This window comes from Homo sapiens, chromosome 1 (assembly GCF_000001405.40).
Source record: "Homo sapiens chromosome 1, GRCh38.p14 Primary Assembly".
Lineage (NCBI taxonomy): Eukaryota > Metazoa > Chordata > Mammalia > Primates > Hominidae > Homo > Homo sapiens.
This window is the reverse complement of record NC_000001.11, coordinates 153,164,988-153,184,587: the sequence shown is the minus strand read 5'-3', so window position 1 is coordinate 153,184,587 and position 19,600 is coordinate 153,164,988. Positions and strand designations below refer to the sequence as shown.

At 39.1% G+C, this 19,600-nt stretch overlaps 1 protein-coding gene and 1 long non-coding RNA gene across 2 annotated transcripts in view; one reads left to right on the top strand and one right to left on the bottom strand.

Moving 5' to 3' along the window:
- The window catches only part of LOC101928009 (uncharacterized), a 17,159-nt gene extending 7,089 nt beyond the window's left edge, over positions 1-10,070 (bottom strand). Inside the window, exons 1-2 of the long non-coding RNA NR_110685.1 lie at positions 9,943-10,070; positions 7,948-8,475 (exon numbers count right to left, since the gene is read on the bottom strand). This is a non-coding gene — a long non-coding RNA (uncharacterized LOC101928009). The remainder of the gene's footprint in view (positions 1-7,947; positions 8,476-9,942) is intronic.
- SPRR2G (small proline rich protein 2G) overlaps positions 1-19,600 on the top strand; it is a 53,697-nt gene that overhangs the window by 18,691 nt on the left and 15,406 nt on the right. The window lies entirely within an intron of this gene.

Genomic DNA, 19,600 nt, shown 5'->3' with positions numbered 1-19,600 from the left:
GCTGATAAGCAAATACAGCAGTCTCAGGATACTAAATCAATGTGTAAAAATCACAAGCATTCTTTTACACCAATAAGACAAACAGAGAGCCAAATCATGAGTGAACTCCCATTCAAAATTGCTACAAAGAAAATAAAATACCTAGGAATGCAACTTACAATGGACGTGAAGGACCTCTTCAAGGATAACTACAAACCACTGCTCAAGGAAATGAGAGAGGACACAAACAACTGGAAAAACTTCCATGCTCATGGACAGGAAGAATCAATGGCCATACTGCCTAAAGTAATTTAGAGATTCAATGCTATTCCCATCAAGCTATCATTGATTTTCTTCACTGAATTAGAAAAAAGTACTTTAAATTTCATGTGGAACCAAAAAAGAGCCCACATAGCCAAGACAATCCTAAGCAAAAAGAATAAAGCTGGAGGCATCATGCTACCTGACTTCAAACTATACTACAAGGCTACAGTAACCAAAACAGCATGGTACTGGTACCAAAACAGATATATAGACCAATAGAACAGAACAGAGGCCTCAGAAATAATGCCACACATCTACAACCATCTGATCTTTGACAAACCTGACGAAAACAAGCAATGGGGAAGGAATTCCCTATTTAATAAAAGGTGCTGGAAAACTGCCTAACCACATGTAGAAAGCTGAAACTGGATCCCTTCCTTACACCTTATACAAAAATTAACTCAAGATGGATTAAAGACTTAAATGTAAAATCTAAAACCATAAAAACCCTAGAAGAAAACCTAGGCAATACCATTCAGGACATAGGCATGTGCAAAGACTTCATGACTGAAACACTAAAAGCAATTGCAACAAAAGCCAAAATTGGCAAATTGGATCTAATTAAACTAAAGAGCTTGTGCACAGCAAAAGAAAATATCATCAGAGTGAACAGGCAACCTGCAGAATGGGAGAAAATTTTTGCAATCTATCCATCTGACAAAGGTCTAATATCCAGAATCTACAAGGAATTTAAATAAATTTACAAGAAAAAAACAAACAACCCCAACAAAAAGTGGGCAAAGGATATGAACAGACACTTGTCAAAAGAAGACATATATGTGGCCAACAAACACATGAAAAAAAGCTCATCATCACTGGACATTAGAGAAATGCAGATCAAAGCCACAATGAGATACCATCTCACTCCAGGTAGAATGGCGATGATTAAAAAGTCAGGGGCCAGGCGCGGTGGCTCATGCCTGTAATCCCAGCACTTTGGGAGGCTGAGGCGGGTGGATCACTTGAGGTTGGGAGTTTGAGACCTGCCTGACCAGCATGGAGAAACTCTGTTTCTACTGAAAATACAAAATTAGCTGGGTGTGGTGGCGCATGCCTGTAATCCCAGCTACTTGGGATTACAGGCATGCGCCACCACACATAATTTAAAGAATCGCTTGAACCCAGGAGGCGGAAACTGTGGTGAGCCGAGATCATGCCATTGCACTCTAGCCTGGGCAACAAGAGTGAAACTCTGTCCCCACCCAAAAAAAAAAAAGAAAAAAAAAGTCAGGAAACAATAGATGCTGGAGAGGATGTGGATATATACGAACACTTTTACACTGTTGGTGGGAGTGTAAATTAGCTTAACCATTGTGGAAGACAATGCAGGAATTCCTCAAAGATCTCTAACCAGAAATACCATTTGACCCAGCAATCCCATTACTGGTATACACCCAAAGGATTCTAAATCATTCTACTACAAAGACATGTGCACACATGTTTATTGTAGCACTATTCACAATAGCAAAGACTTGGAACCAACCCAAATGCCCATCAATGATAGACTAAAGAAAATGTGGCACATATACACCATGGAATACTATGCAGCCATAAAAAAGAATGAGTTCATGTCCTTTGCAGGGACATGGATGAAGCTGGAAATCATCATTCTTAGCAAACTAACGCAGGAACTGAAGACCAAACACCCTAAGTTCTCACTCATAAGTGGGAGTTGAACAATGAGAACACATGGACAGAGGGAGGGGAACATCACACACCAGGACCTGTCAGGGGTGGTGGAATACAAGGGGAGGGAGAGCATTAGGACAAATACCTAATGCATGTGGGGCTTAAAATCTAGATGATGGGTTGGTGGGTGCAGCAAACCACCATGGCAAATGTATACCTATGTAACAAACCTGCATGTTCTGCAGATGTATCTCAGAACTTTAAGTATAATAAAAAAAAAAAGTCATGACAAAAACCACGATAACTTTTGCACCAACCTAATAAAAAAATTCTTAAAATATAAGTATTATATTTTGGGTATGCAGGAACTCAAACAACAGCAAAAAACCAAACAATCCTGTTAAAAAGTGGGCAAAGGATCTAAACAGACATTTCTAAAAAGAAGATATACAAATGGCCAACAAGTATATGAAAAATTGCTCAACATCACTAATCCTCAGGGCAATGCAAACTAAAACCACAGTGAGATATCCTCTCACTCCAGCAAGAATGGCTATGATCAAAAAGATGAAGAATAACAGATGCTTGAGAGGATGCAGAGAATTCTCATACACCATTGGTGGGTATGCAAATTAATACAGCCATTATGGGTAACAGTATGGAGATTTCTGAAATAACTAAAAATAGAACTACCATGTGATCCTGCAATCCCACTACTAAGTATTTATTTGAAGGAAAGAAAATCAGTATATCAAAAGGATATACACATCCTAATGTTTACTGCAGCACTATCACAATAGCAAAGATATGGAATCAACCTAAGAGTCCATCAACAGATGAATGCACAAAGAAAATATTATATATATATATATAATGGAATACCACTCAGCCATAAAAATAAGGAAATCATATTATTTGCAGCAAAATGGATGAAACTGGATGGAGGTCATTATGTTAAATAGAATATGCCAGACACAGAAAGACAATGATCACCTGTTCCATCATATGTGGGAGCTAAAAATGGTGATTTCATGAAGGTAGAGAATAGAATGATAGTTACCAGAGGCTGGGAAAGGCGTGTATGTGCATGGGGTTGTGGGGGATAAAGAGAGGTTGGTTAATGGGTACAAACATATAGTTAAATAGAATAAACAAGTTCTAATGACTGATATTAGAGTGAGCTGACTATAGTTAATGAGAATGTGTTGTATCTTTCAAAATATCTGGAAGTGAGGAACTGAAATGTACTCACCACAGATAAACGATAAATGCTCACGGTGATGGATATTCTAAATACTGTGACTTGATCATTATACATTCTATGTGTGTAGCAAAATGTCACATGTACCCCATAAATATGTATATTATGTACCCATAGAAAATAAAAATATATTACACAACCAAAAACAAACAAACAAAATTCTAAACTCTGGGAGAATGTCTTCAGATCTTGTCAATAGGAAAGATTCCTTAATCAGGTAATAAAAAGCATACCAATAAGGTGGAAAAATGACAAATTGGATTTCATTAAAATTAAAAATTTCTGATTATCAAAAACACCACCAAGATTGCAAAATGCCAAGCCACAGAGATGGAGAAGCTGTATGTAATATCTATATTTAACAAAGGGCTTGTTCCCAGAACATATATACACATGTGTTCCTACTCACAGATCAACAAAAAAACAAGAAATGAGCAAATAGAAAAATATCTGAACAACCTGAACAGGCAATTCATGAAAGGGCATTTCTGTATTTCCAATAAACATATAATAAAGAGTTTAATCTCACCATTCATAAGAGAAATGCAAATTCAAGTCACAACGTGTTATCTCCACATAGCCACCGAAATGGCTAACACGAAAAAAGATAGACAATACCAAGTTTAGACAGAGTGTGGAGCAATTGAAACTTTCACACACTGCTGATGGGAATAATAGATGGTAGAAAGAATTTGGAAAAGTTAACAGTATTCACTAGAGCTGAGCATATCCCTATCCTCTGACCCAGTCATTATATTTTCCTAGGTATGTACCTAACAGAAGTGTGTACATATAGTCACAAAAGGACAAATACGTAAATATTCACATTAGCACTATTTTTAAAAATTCCAAATTGGAAACTACTAAAATACCTTTTAGCAATAAAATGGATGCATAAATGGTAGTATATTCTCATAGAGAAATACCATACAGCAATGAGAATCAACGATCTATATCTACAAACCAGAAAATGAATCAGTATCACAAACACAATTTTGGGGAAAAAAAATCCAGGCACCAAAGAGTTCATACTGTATGATTCCCTTTATATACAGTTCAGAACATGAAGAACAAATGTACAGTGTTAGATGCCAGGAAAAAGTTAATGTTTGGGGGCTGGTAGTGACTCGGACTGCTTTTGAGAACCTGCTTCCCAGGTGGACTGCTTCTGAGATGCTGGTAACATGTTATTTCTTCATTTGTGCATTGGTTGCATGGTTGTTTAGCTTATGAAGCTTTATTAAGTTGTATACCTGTACTTGGTGAGCTTTTATTAATTTATACTTCAATTTTAGTCAGTTAAAAGGTTACTTTAAAGGGAAGGAAGCCACCAGAATGCCAATATTCCTGCAACTTAGTGAACAAGGAAAGAAAGATATGATGAAGTCAGCATAAGAGTCAGTGCCACAGCATGAAGTGCTTTGTAGGACAGTAAGGTCTTCAGACTTTTCTCTAGATACAATGGCAAGATATTTGATCATTTCAATTAGGGAGGACATAATCTTCTCTATATTTTATATGATTGCTGTGGTTGTTCTGATATGGGATTGCTGTGGCACAAGATAGGAATACGGAGACAAGATAGAAATCAGGACACAAGATAGGAAACTTCTGCAGTGGTTCAGGTGAGGGTGATGGTGGCTCTAATTAGGGTAAGAACATTGAAGATAATGAGAAGATGAGAAGTGATAATAAGCTTAAGGCAGAACTTGGGATCTAGGAAGAAGTAGTATGTGGGAGGTGAGGAAAAGAGGAATAAGAGATGAATCCTAGGTCTTAAAAATTATTATTATGACTACTATCATTATTTCAAACATTATTATCCTTATTTAGTTTGTGGCATGAGTACCTTCACACACACGATGATATTGTATATTTAAAAATGAAACCATTTCACAAATGATAGGCGTGACATTGTTATATTTAAAATGAGTGGATATTATAAACAACTTCATATTGAATTCTACAACTTAGATGAAAAGCACAAATTCCTTGAAAATAAAAAACTAACACATAAATGAAAACTTGACAGCCCTGTGATGGTCTTTTGACGTGTCAGCTTGGCTGCATGACAGTCCCTAGTTACTCAATCAAATACTAATCTAGGTGTTGCTGTGAAGGTAGATGTGATTAAAGTCCATTATGAATTGACTCTAAGTAAGGGAGAAAATCCTAGTTTATACAGGCTGGTCTGATTCAATCAGTTGAAAGGCTTTAAAAGCCAAGCTAAATCTTCCCTGAAGAAATTATATGTGTGGATTACAGCTTCAGCCTATGACAGAGTTCCAGCTTACCCTCTTGATGTCCTGACTTCTGGATTTTAGACTTGCCTAGCTGCCTTTGCAATCACATAAATTGAGTCCTTGTAGTAAATCTCTGAAGTACATTTCCAACTGGTTCTGTTCCTCTCATTGTACCCTGACTGAGACAATCTCTAAAATTATTACAGAAATAAAACCCATAGTTTAAAACCTTCCCATATAGAATGCCCCAGGTCCAAAAGGATTAACTGGTGAATTATACCACACACTTAAGAAATAAAAATTTCAATCATACATAATTTCTTTCATAAAACAGAGAAAGAGGGAATATTCACCAAGTCTTTTTCAGGTTAACGTAGCCCTGATATTGAAACTTGACAAGGACATTAAATGAAAAGAAAGTTACAGATCGTTATTCCTCAGGAGCATAGAAGCAAAAATCCTTAAGAAAATATCAGTAAATTGAGTCTAGCAATATATTAAGAGGATTTGTCACAGAATGCAAGGTTTATTTAATATTATAAATGTAATTCACCAAATTAACTGAATAAAGGAAGAAATTATATCATCTGAATAGATGTAGAGAAAGCATTTGACAAAATTCAACATGCATTGAGGATAAAACTCTTGCAAACTAGGAATAGAAAGAAATTTTCTCTATGCGATGAAGGTCATCTATGAAAAGCCTTGGCTAACATTATATTAATTGTGAAATATTTTTCCCCTAATATCAGAAACAAGGCAAGTATATCCCAATTTACTACTTCTATTCTAACATTTCCTGGAAGTTCCAGCCAGTGCAATAAGGTAAGAAAAATAAGTACAAGCATGGATTGGAAAGAAGAAGCACAAATGTCTTTACTCACAAATGGCATAATTGCCCATGCAGAAATTCCTAAGAAACTTATAGAAATATGTATTGGAACTAATATGGAACTTTATCAAGGCCACAGAATACAAGGTCAATATATAGAAATCAATTATATTTCTATAAACCATCACCACACAATTGGAAATAAAATTTAGAAATAACTTTATGACAGCATAAAAGATAAAATGTTAGTAATATATTTAACAAAAATTTGTAAGTCTGCTACACTGAAAATAATAAAACAATCTGGAGAAAAACTAGACAGGATCCAAATAAATGAAGAGATATAGGTTCACATATTGGATAACACACTATTTTGAATGTATCAGTCCTCTTAAATTGATCTATTTATTCCTTGCAATCCTAATAAAAATCCCAGCTGGCTTTTTTTTTTGGAGGACTTAATGGACCAAATTTAAAATTTACATGGAAATTCAAAGAATCTAGAAAAGTTTAAACAATCTTGGAAAATAACAAAGTTGTAGGTCTCACACTATCTGGTTTCAATACTTACTATAAATGCTCATCAATCAAGAATGTGTGGTTTTGGTGTATGAATACACATATAGATAAATGAAAAGCATAAAGAACTCAGAAATAGACCTACATTTATGTTCAAGTGAAAATGTATAAATGACCAAAAAGCATGTGAAATCCTTAACCATATTATCAGTCAGGGAAATGCAGTTAAAAAGCCCCATAAGATATCATTTCAGACCCACAAAAATGGCTAATATTAAAATTAATGACAAAGCAAGTGTGGCAAGGAGGTGGAGCCCCTGGAACTCTCATACAGTGCTAGTATGAATGTAAGGTGGCACAATCAATGCAGAAAACAATTTGGCGGTTTCTTATAAAGTTAAACATACAACCATGCTATGACCAAGAAGCTCTGCCCCTAAATATTCATTTAAGAGAAATAACATGTCCACGAAAGACTTGTACATAAATATTCGTAACAACTTTGTTCATATAGCCCCAAATTGTAATAACCTAAATGTCCATCTGCAGGTAAATCAATAAATTATGGAAAATTCATACAATGAAATACTGCCTAGCATTAAGAAAACTTAAGAAAGTATTAAAAAAGCAGGAATTTGATGTGTATCAAGACACTATGTTTAGCAAATAAGCCAAACACAGCAGAGTACGTTCTGTATGATTCTATGTATATAAATCATATTAAAACGTGCTTAACAACACTATTAGTCAGGGAAATGCAGAATAAGGAAAACTAACCTATGGTGAGGAATCTGAACAGTGCCTTTGGGAGGGGATTAACTAACTGCAAGGGGGCATTGGAAATATTCTAGATCCCCCTTGCGCTCACAGGTTTCAGGGGCTGTTATGATAGGATTATGGTTTCTATTTACTTTTCTCATTGTTCTAAGTTCTTTGTTGAGATAAAATTACACTACCAGAAATCTACATACTTGAATTATCTTACTCACATTAGCCTTAATGAGACAATGCATTATTGCTGGGCTTTTTCACTTTTACTGACATGGACTGCAAGAACTGGCTATATGAAATCTGAGTCTGCTTTCATCTCGCCCCTTGATAAATGCCTTCTCTGTGAGCCCCAGGAGTGCTAGAAAAAGTAGACTTTGTCACACCCATACCGACATGGTGTGTTTTCTCCTCCAAGGCTCTTCTTCCAGGTAAGGGTAAACTGTTGTTGGTACCTGTACAGCTGCCAAAGTGGAATTTTCTTTGAAAGTCAGAAGTTAGATTTCAGGAATTGAAGTGAATCAAAATTGTTGGGGAAATACTTTTTATGTGTTCCAGACCAGTTTTATCTAGGATAAAAGTTTCCAAGTCTGTCTTATTCATGCCAGTGGGATCTTCTGAGGACAAGAGCACCTTGGACAGGTGGGGGTAGGAGGTAACTAAAACTGACAAGCAGACATGGACAATGGATAAATACATGGGTGAGTAACAAACATGAGTGCATAAAGGAAGTTCCAGGAAGAAGAAAATCCAAAGTCCACGTGTTCCAACTGCTGAACTGAGGTCTAGAAATGTAAAGTAACTTGTCTAGGGTTACATAGCCAATACTAGGACCCAGTTAGCGAGTTGACAGTGCCCTATTCCTTCTCTGGCAGTATCAGGTCTCACCTCCCCTTGCTTGCATGGCCAAGTCTTCATTTCTAGGAGGAAAGAGAAATGAACCGGACTGTAAAAACCATTCAACATTTTTTTTTTTGAGATGGAGTTTTGATCTGTCACCCAGGCTGGAGTGCAGTGGCATGATCTCGGCTCACTGCAGCCTCTGTCTCCGGGGTTCCAGCAATTCTCCAGTCTCAGCCTCCTGGGTAGCTGGGATTATAGGCATGCACCACCACATCTGGCTAATTTTTGTATTTTTAGTAGAGACGGAGTTTCACCGCCCTCAGGTGATCCACCTGCCTTGGCCTCCCAAAGTGTTGGGATTACAGGCGTGAGCCACCACATCTGGCCAAGAAATATTTATTGAGGCCTCATATGTCTTAGGAACTGTGAGGTGCTGGGCATATAGCAGTGGTGAATAACACATGGAATTTAAATTCAGCAAGGATAACAGACATTAAACAAAACAAATGGTTACCTTGATAATTACTTAAGTATAATGGTTACATGTGTCATGAAGGAGTTGTTCAGATTTATAAAAGCATAAAACAGGGAACTAACCTCATCTGAAAGAATCCATGAGAGTTTGCCTGAACCTTGTATGGAACATGAAAGTCCATCAGGGAGAGTTCCTGGCTGAGAGAGCAGCATGTGTGAAGGCTGGGAGGGAAGAACGAACCTGGCACATATCGGGAATAGAGAGACCAGGGCCTGTTAAGCCAAACCCAGGGAGAGGAGCGTTGCATGGACTGGACTTACGGGAACAGCCAAACAATTAGAACCTTACGGGTCAATGTTAAGGCGTTCAACTATTTTTTCTAAGTGTAACAGGAAGCCATTGAAGGAAGGACAGCAGGCAGGATAACACAACTGCCTTTGTATTTTTGAAAGATCATTTTGGCAGAGTGGTGTTTAGCTTATAGGGGATTGGGAGTTGAAGACCAGTTAAGAGGTTCTTACGATTAGTCCAAGTGAGAGATGATGGTACCTGGATGAAGGTAGAAAGAATGAAATGGAGAAAAGTAAATGGAAGATATAGAGGAGATATCAGGTGGAATTGTTAAGCTCACAATATTAGCTCTGATCATTCTAACAATTCCCTGGGTCTGGGACCCATGATAACATCTTAGCAGTCAACATCATAGCACAATTAATAAATACAGTTAGGTCTACCTTACTCTAGGGTACAGCCTGCTGCCTGAGGTATTAAGTGTTTCTTCTTTCTTTTCTTTTGTTTCTTTCTTTTTTTTAAAGCCCAGCATCCATCCAGGTCATTTTCAGCTAGCAAAACTGGATTTCCTGACAGATGCTTCAAATATGTGGCTGACAGTGCAGGTGTTGTCTCAACTTGCCTGGATCTAAAACCAGTGATAATTTGGGCCTGTAGCAAATATATGTAATCCTTTCCCTTGCTTTCCAGTACTCTTTGCACACTGTCACTATGTATGGACTATTTTACAGACTTGTATTCCTTCTCCCCAAGGTAGAACCCAGAAAGTAAATCTCACAGTCTGTTTTGCAGTCAGGGTGCGCACTGTGACGGAGGCTCTACCAGTCAGAGCTATGCTCTGGAAAGGAACAATTGGAAGAGGGTCTCCTTGCAGAAGACATTTTGCTGGCAGGGGTGGTGGCTCCCTTTTGCGGCTGGCTGAGGAGGCAAAGATGTGTTCCTGGCATGATGTAGCAATGGTGGAGCAGTCGCTGTGGCAGTAGAACTTCCTCACCAGGCTAGTTTTGTGGTGTGGTTTTTGGACATTTCCCCTATATGCTTAGCCTCAAGCCTGGTTCTGCGGCTTTTCCAAGAGTTCTATAATCTACCCAATAATATTTTAATAAACCCTTTTTCTGTTTAATCAGTCAGAGTGAGCTTTTGTTGTTTGTAATTAATATCCTGAGATGGTACAAAACTAAATGCTATTAATTACACAGTATTAGCCTGCTCTTTAAATTCTACTAAAGCAACATCATGAAATTGGAGTTCTTGGAAGAGTGACCAAAGAGGAAGAAATAGGTCTGATCAAAGCTTTTGTTCATAGTTGGCTTACATATGGGTTATGCCAAACATTTGTCAACATATAAGAGAAATGTATGTCCCTATAACATTTCAAATAGACTCTTTCATAGGGCCTTCTCATAGATGAATTTCTGAGCCCATCTGCTAAAAATTAAACTATAACAAAGTAAAAAATGTGAATGCCTCTGAATTACTGAGTGAATCTTTCCTGCCCCATCCTTTATGGTGTGAAAGAATCTGTAAAATTTCCCGAGGAGTCCATGAGCAGGTGGAAGAGTGGCCTAGGTGGGGAAGAACCAAGGCATAAATGATTCTTGAAGCCAGTGAGAGACTTGAGTCTTGCCACCTCCAACCCCATGGAAGGAACTCCCTGGAGCATCACTGACTCAGGACTTCTAGCCTCTGCTCTGACACCTCCAGTGACAAGGAGGGAACCGCTCTGTAGTTCAGAGCAAAATTCTCCTAAAGTAACAGAAGTCACTGGGAAGCACATTTCAGTCCAACCAAGGAAATAGTTTCTAAGTAAGTTCATTAATAATAAATCTGGTTGCCTCCCTTGTACAGAGCACTCTATTGTGGACAGACTTCAAGCAGAGGCTGAAAGACCATCAGGAGGTATTTTAGAGCAGATTTCCATTCAATATGTGCTTCTGATCCCATGATTCCTTTTCTTATCTGAGATTTTTTTTTCTGTTTGACTTCCCTTTAGAGCCTCCATCATTTCCCTCTATTTATTTCCCTCTCTCTGTAGGACAACCTCCATATTTATTTCCCTCTGTCTGTAGGACAACTTCACTCTTTCTTATTGTCCAAACCACAGGCTCTGAAAGAGCAGCCAGGGAGTAATCGAATATCACAAGCCTGGGGGTTCTGGAAGTGTTAGCCATGTTCTGTCCCAAGGCCTTCACTCAAATTCTCAGGTCTGTGTCCTCATTTGAAGACTGTTCTTTGTGGTTTCTGAATAGCTGGGATTTGACTTCAATTTAAGTGAAGTAAGCCCTCTTGGGGTTGTAGAAAGAACGTGAGATAGGATGTGAACATGTGGATGCTAGCTTTACTGACATTAACCAGCTGTGCTGTCTGAGTGAAGTTCCTCAGTATCTCCATGACTTTATTTCTTCATCTCTAATATTGAAGACTTGTAAGAGTTCCAAAGTTAATTCTAGAATTATATTATGTTTGTCCGCCTGTCTATTTATGCACTTAACTATCCTAATTCTTTAAAACCCCACCTTGAAAAAAGTGGTCACTGTCAGTCCAACCATACAATCTTCTTCCGGCCCAGATGAAGGCTAGCCCAAGCCCTAATGGAACTCTTCTCTCCTTTTAGGGATAATCCCAGTAGCTGTCTCTTCTTCAACTTCCTGCTTCAGAGGATTAAGGTGGCATAAAAAGTAATCTTGTACCTTTGATCCCAAGCACAGTCAAACTTTTGGAAAACAAAAGGGTTTGCCCCAGTTTTCCGTTTTTTGGGTGCCTCATTCCAGTTACTAATGTGATGTGTCTAACTCTTTTTTTGTACCGGAAACTCCAGTTTTGCAGGTATTGAGTGACTAGCAAGGTTTCCATCTCCTGAGGAAGGGTAGCCTGGGAGAAAGAGGACACAGAAGCCCTTTCCCACAGTATCTCTGGGGTCTCTGTGGGGGCAGCCAAAGGAAAGGTGCAATGAGGTGCATTGGGGGCAGGACTCTTGAGTGGGGGAAGGATGTGTGCAAGGACTGGTAGGTGGTAGGTTAGTGATAGAAGACTTGAACTTATGTTGTAATGCTACAGCAAAAGTCAACCGCATGAGACCAGACCACGTATTGTGATAGGTGCCACCAGGAAAGAACTCTGTGGAATTGATAGATAAAAAGGTTCATTAGAAAAAACTAAATGGGACAGTCTGGAGAAGTAGACCTGGTCTTCTGAGCATGAGAGTTATAATTTAAGGATAGTTTTTTCAGTCAGGGAGTGTTGATAGACCCTGGAAGGTGAGAGGTGAAGTAGAGTGGAAGCCAATTCCTGGTCCTCTCATGGGACATGGCTTGACTGTCACTTGTCTCATGTATTCAGGAGGATGCTGGATACCTGAAGCTGTAGGTCGCTCCAATTTCAATGGAGGATTAAAGTTGAGTGTAAAAGGAAATTGGTAAACCAAAGAAGAAGGTCTGAACAAGTCCTTAGTACATGGCCAAAGGACAGACGTAGATACTGATAGCTGGAGTACAGGGCTGGGGATTCGGGGGGCATGGGAGGGGAGGGCAGAAGCATTGGGCAGAGCTCAAGAGGGGAATTGTGGTCTTTGGGTAATGTTAGACATCCACTAATTTCACTGGTTGATGTGTTTGCTTTGTTGTATTATTTGGTAGGGAAAACTGTGCTTATGGAACCATACCTGGGCAAAAAAAGAGACTTCACTATCTGTGCCAGGGAGATGGGACCACCATCTGTTGGCAGCTGTGAAGTTGAGAGGTGGCTGTTCACCAGAGATGAATACACAGGGTTTCCAGTCAACTTTCAGCATTTTGGTGCATGATACCCAAGCCCTAGCCAGTGGAAAAAGTGAGCAATTATCTGCTGAAGAAATGTCCGTAGTGGTGAGTGGTGGTAGGCTGGGTGGAGGAAAAGCGGTGGCATGTGCAGTGGAGATTCAGGTACTGAAAGGGTATATGGTGTGATCACACAAGTCCGTATAACCCAAATTCTCAAATGTCAGTCTGATGAATGAATACAGGGAAGCATTCCTGGGGAGGCGAGTGGGTGTAAAGGCTCCTGTAGTCCAAGAATCTTGAATGTTTATATGCAATCCATTAGCTCAATAGTAGCTGTAATTGTTATTTACTCTCTTTTTGAGTTTTAGTGTTTGTGTGTGGTAAGACACACCTGTGTTTCAAGTAGTCCCAGGACGGCCGGGAAAAGGGTGGAGGAAGGAAGGGTGTTTACCTGCTCATATTCAGAGAAACTAATTGCCTGGGAAAATTTAGGCTAAACCAATGAAGATGAGAGAGTTTCAACATTTCAGTCATACTGGCATTTAAGGCAGGTGTGAACAAATAAACACTAGTGACAAGAACAGCCTTGCCAAGCAAAGTACTCTTCCGTGAAAAGAGGGAGGATTGACCCTCCCATGTGATGTCACTGCCAAGGCCAAAGAGGGTGGAATGAGCTGATCGTGGATCCTGGATCTTCTAGGTCTTTGAGAATTTCTGTGTCAGTTGCCCATGATACCCTGTTCTTCCTCACTTGTTGGCCACCTCTCTGAGTCACTGACCAGCCAGTGCTGATTTACTTAGGTGGATTTGTGGGGTCCTGGCCTGAATCACCATATGCAGAGGTGGCTCTCAGAGGGTGGTGGGCAGCCGTGGGGAGGTGCAGGGAGGTAGGACCTTTGAGTGGGAGAAAAGCAAGTGAGGGGCCTGGTATGTGGGTCTGTGGGATCCTGAGCTGATTTACCATATGCTGGTTAATTTTTAAAATCAAAAGTATTTTCTTTTGAAGCCATGGAATACCTCTCTTATCTCTCTATCAAGCCCTTCTTCCACCTTTTCTTCTTCCCTCCTTTCCTCTCTCTTGTCCTCTTGCCCAGTAGTCTTCTGGAGTTGATTCCTAAACCCAGGTCTACCTTTTCTGCCTGCTCTTTGCAACTCATAAAGCTTTTGTTTTCTGTTCATTTTTCATTGCCATACGCTGTTTTTGTGTCCTTGAAGTTGGCTTTTGTGTATCACAAAGATGATTTAAGGCACACTTTGGTTTACAAAATTTATATTTACTTTATTAAAGTTACCAATTATACAGCTTTTTGTGAGCCATAAGTTAGATAACTAATGTTATTAATTTAATTAAAATTCTAGAAATTTGTGTAATTTTTTCAAGGAGCTTTGGAGTAATAATTGATCCAGTTAACAACTTCGGTTAAACTCTCTTAACAACTTAAACTGAGGTTACCAAGTTGATATCCTCAATTTTAGAGTACTTTAAGTCTCCCACTGACTAATACAATTCCAAATACATACTCGAAGAAAATTTATACATCTTTTGATTCTTATGTTTTCTTAAGCATTTCAATGCTGTTTAGAAACCTAACCAAATTCCATTACACTTTGTAACTTAAAATCATGTCTAAATAAATTAATTAGTTATATTAGTTAATATAAACTGTAAGACTGTGAACTGAAGAATGATGAAATTCATATATTTGGAAAGGAGAGCTTTCTTTCCATAAAGCGGTTCAGTCTGCAAGGCAGCCATTCTGACATACTTGGAAACACAGTCTCCAGCCAGAAGCCAGAAATACAGATATTTGGAGGGTGAGAAGAATAAGGCAGGAATTTATGCTGAATGGCGTGGCTGAATATACATGTTGAATAAGCTATAGGAGGAGTCATGAATATTTGTGAAAGGAGAAATGTGCACATACACAATTGAGCTTCATGCCCTGGGTTGTTCAAAAAATGGCAGTGTTAACATGATGGAAGGCTGAAGTTTTCAGCCTTCTGACATTAAAAGGTGAAGTGGAGGACATGAAAGTCATCACTGTGCATCCTCTGTTGACTGGCCAGAACCACTTTGTGGTTGGTGGCTTTTTTTTTTTTTGAGATGGAGTCTGGGTCTGTTGCCAGACTGGAGTGCAGTGGCATGATCTCAGCACACTGCAACCTCTGCCTCCCGGGTTCAAGCAATTCTCTTGCCTCAGTCTCCCGAGTGGCTGGGACTACAGGTGTGCACCACCATGCCCAACTAATTTTTTTGTATTTTTAGTAGAGATGGGATTTCACCATGTTGGCCAAGATGATCTTGATCTCCTGACCTCGTGATCCACCCACCTCAGCCTCTCAAAATGCTGGGATTACTGGCATGAGCCACCGCGACCCCGGCTGGTAGGTGGCCTTTTATCAGGAAGGAACGTCGGTCTACTGTTGTGTTCAAAGGCAAAAGGGAGGAGTAGTCACAAGGTTGGTTGAAATCATTGGAGAGCAAGTCTTTCAAAAGGGCTGGTTTCTGTTTAACCCTGAGGGAAGAAAGCCTAAAGGTGGTTAGTGAGGGAGGGAGTATAACAAGGCACTTCCAACCTCTCATTCTGTAATGCTAGGAACTCAGTTTTGAGGTTTCTCTGGGGCCCCCTTGGCCAAGAGCGGGTCCACTTAGTCAGTTGGGAGGCTTAGGATTTTATTTTTGTTTCTCAAGGCTGATTTATTTGATGATCTAACATGCCAAATTTTACATCTTACACACACACACACACACACACACACATACACTCATGAGTACACAGTCAAGATGACAGTTGGGATTGGCATCCAGATAGGGTGCTCTCATAGCCTATGCTCTTCTGATTCAAATTGCACATTGACCAAGAATTCCCTGTTGTCCAAATCTGCATCTTCCTTCTCAGGTTTTATCTGATTTCGTTTGGTACTTATTTGGATTTTTCATTGCTGGGGGTATTTTAGCATACTTTTATGTTCTCTTCAATAGTTCTAAGAATGTATCAATGCCTTTCCATAGGATCATTCATATGCTTATGTAATTCCTTCAAAACTTCTTTGAAATTTAAGAATTTCGGATAATATAAAATAGCATCTAGTAATGTCCCAAGCAGATAATAAGCACTTAATAATTGGCAACTATTATGATTCTGCTATTATGATAAAAATAATAACAGTCAAAACCAGATTGTTATAAATGCCAAAATATAGGTACAGAATTAATGAGACTGTGAGGGAAATCAATTTCTGTGGCATTCACATGCATGTCTTTCTTGCTGTAAAACTGAAGCTCTGTGCTGAGTTGAGCTCCTGATATACTTCTATGTGATGTAAGATTCAGTGAAAGTTCTATCAAGACACAACTGAAGTGGAACTTTGAGAGACCAATTCCCAGACTGCTTGTTGAAAATAGATAAAGCTATGGGCATTGCATTGAGCCTTTGGTCTAGGAGGTTCTTCTATGGAACTGAGTGTTTCCAGAACTGATGGTGCTTCAACAGTTGGTGGAAGAGTCTATTCTTTTTGGTTGGTGTTGATAACTATGTTATATAAAGCATTCTTCTCTCCTAGTGATATTATTTTTGAGATGTTAAAGTAAAACAGATTCTTCTTTGATGGAGACACTACTCAGAGCACCAAGAAGGTGATTTAGAATATGGCATTTCTCCTGCTCATGGGATCATGGAACCATTTATACTCAGGTTCTAATATTTTATAAGACATGGGGTAGCAAATATTAGGCTAATGTATTAAGATAATTGCCATATTATTAGCAAGTATTACATGATTAAATAAAATGTATTTTTTGTTGAATCTTCTTAAAAACATTACTATATTATTGTGGTGGAGGGCAAACATGACTTTTGGTCCAAATGACAATGAAGCAGGTAAGATCCAAAAACCTTTATTATCATTTAAAATTATTTACTTGTAAGTTTACATATTTTGGCTTATATCTTCTATAAGAAGATAAGGTCAGAGAACTTAAATGTTTTCTGAGTTATCCTCCATTGTACATTCAGCATCTAGCAGAGTAATAGTTAAGTTCCACCTTCCTAATCTCTAATCATTAAACAGATGTAAAACAAATTTATATGGTACCAATACAGTAAACATATCAAAATAACTTACTGTAATTGCCAAATTTACCCTACCTAGTTTAGAGATTTCTTTTTCTTTTTCTTTTTTGTTTTTTTTTGAGACAGAGTTTCAATCTTGTTGCCCAGACTGGGTGCAATGGAGTGATCTTGGCTCACCACAGCCTCTGCCTCCCAGGTTCAAGCGATTCTCCTGCTTCAGCCTCCCGAGTAGCTGGGATTACAGGCATGAGCCACCACGCCTGGCTAATTTTGTATTTTTAGTAGAGATGGGATTTCTCCATGTTGGTCAGGCTGGTTGAGAACTCCTGACCTCAGGTGATCCGCCTGCCTTGGCCTCCCAAAATGCTGGGATTACAGGCATGAGCCACCACGCCTGGCCAGAGATTTTATTTTTTTTCCAAAACAAAGGGTCTCTTATTTATTTCTTCAGATCATTAACTGCAGTATGGCATGCCAAGGTTATTAGGATCCAAATATCTCATATATATTTTGAGCCTTCTGTGATGGTGGTGGTGGAATCAAAGTAGATTGCATCAGGGTCCATTCTGATTATGCCATGGTTCTGGATCTCGGCCCCTCTTCTCCATTCCAACTTATGTTCCCTTTATAGACCTTTGTCAATTTTCAAGTGGATTTTTTTTTCCTAAACACTTTTATGAAGAGATCAAGTGGATTTTTACAGTTCTTTTAACTGCCCTCAAATTCTGTGATACTCAACTTCCTAAAGTGCCAAGCACATCAAGATATTTTCTGTCTCTGTGTGGATGGTATCAGTTGTCCCAAGAGAGTTTTGAGTAGGACTGTTCTTTTCTTAGATTCAAAATCCATCTTTGGTCTTCCAGATCTTGATAATGTGGGCTAATATGGGAGTGAGTGATGAATGAAATGACATATCTATTCTTGGAGATCTTCATCCCCATGATCTGGAGACTGTGAAATGTGTTGCTTCTACCTGGTTGGGTGGTCCTCTGCTGTCCAGAGGCCCAATTCTGCTTATTTGAGGGTGCAGCATCAGAGCTTAGGTATCAAGGAAGAGAGAAGAAGGGGTAGTAATTTTTTTGTTGCTGCTGATATTAGGAACACTTCCTTGGGACCAAGAGAACAACAACAACAACAACAAAAAGGCTTGTAGAAACCAGATTTTCACATGGGGTTCTTTCTCAAACAACAAAACCTAAGTAACTAAGTTAAATGCCCATGTAGGAGAGGCTCATAAACACTCAAATCTTCTTCATCCTCAATGATTAAAAACCTTTCATTCCCCTCTACTATAATCAGAACTAAAACTACAAATGCAGAACCCTCCTTGGTACAAGGCAGGGCAGAAATCTAGTTCTCCCTGAGACTGTCCTTGGAAAATCTCTGCCCAGACACAGATTAGGAATGATTCTCTGGACCTGCCCTATCAACCCACCCAGTATATAGGTACAAGGAAAGAGACTGGGCAGAGAAGGAGCTAGGAATTGTGTCATGTGAGGCACTAGGGATGGCTTATGGGAAAGAGAAGGCTTGGGTGAGTAAGAGCATTAGCTGCACCATCCAAACAGCTGAGCCTTGAATAGAAAGCAAAATTGGCACCTGTGGAGTTTACGGTCAGAGGTTCAGCCTGATTCCAACACAGGACAAGAAAGACACTTCTGAGTTGACCCCAAGGCTGTCACTGCTATTGGTGGGGCCATGAAGCCTGTGCCTCACAGTCACAGAGGCCCCCAAAGTAAGAGTTTAGTTTTTCATCTTCAAAGAAGGTTTTATACACTATCACTGACACACCAGAAGGACTGAAATAAGGCGTTGCTTATCACCTGTGGAACTCTGATTTCCCTCCAAAGCCACACTTCCAGGACTTTATTATATATTATTTTGTCTTAGACTTTTCATTATTTCTGCCACTTCCCCACCAGAATACATGCTGTGTTCTCAACCCATTTTATATATGTTTTCTTAACCTCTGGACCAAAGGAGTTCTGGGAGAGGAGATAACATAACACTAGATTTGTATCCCAGCCTCATCCTCTTGCAGTTTTGTGTTAGAACAATGGTCCCTGAGTCTCTATTTGATGCCTCTGAGGAGCCAGACTTACATTATAAATTAGGAAAATGAAGTCAGAAAGGGCAGAAAAAGGATTCAAGTTCTGGAACCTGGGAAGTTCTGTCTGTCATAATCTAGCTGTGGGAAAGTTGTTGTGAAGTCTGTTATCTACTCCAGGTTCAGTTTTATGCTCTGTAGTAGGCTTCCTCTGTTCTTGAATCAATGAATTCTCTTTGATTTTTTTAACTTAGAATATCCTATTTATTGTATTAGTTCAATATCTATCAATATTTAGAATCACCTATATTTTGATCAATTAACTGATCCATCCATCCGTCCGTCCATCCATCCATCCATCCATCCATCCATCCATCCATCCATCCATGTTTGCTTTCTAAATCCCATCCTGAAAGCTGCCTGGGTGCAAATATTCTGGATCTGATTTTCAGCTCCTGCCAGGTAGAACCATCTCATTCATCATCCTCTTCTAGTTGCTCCTTTTCTCAGAGGACCTAAGTTACTTTTATCTTTGATCAACTTGATGGATGGAAACAA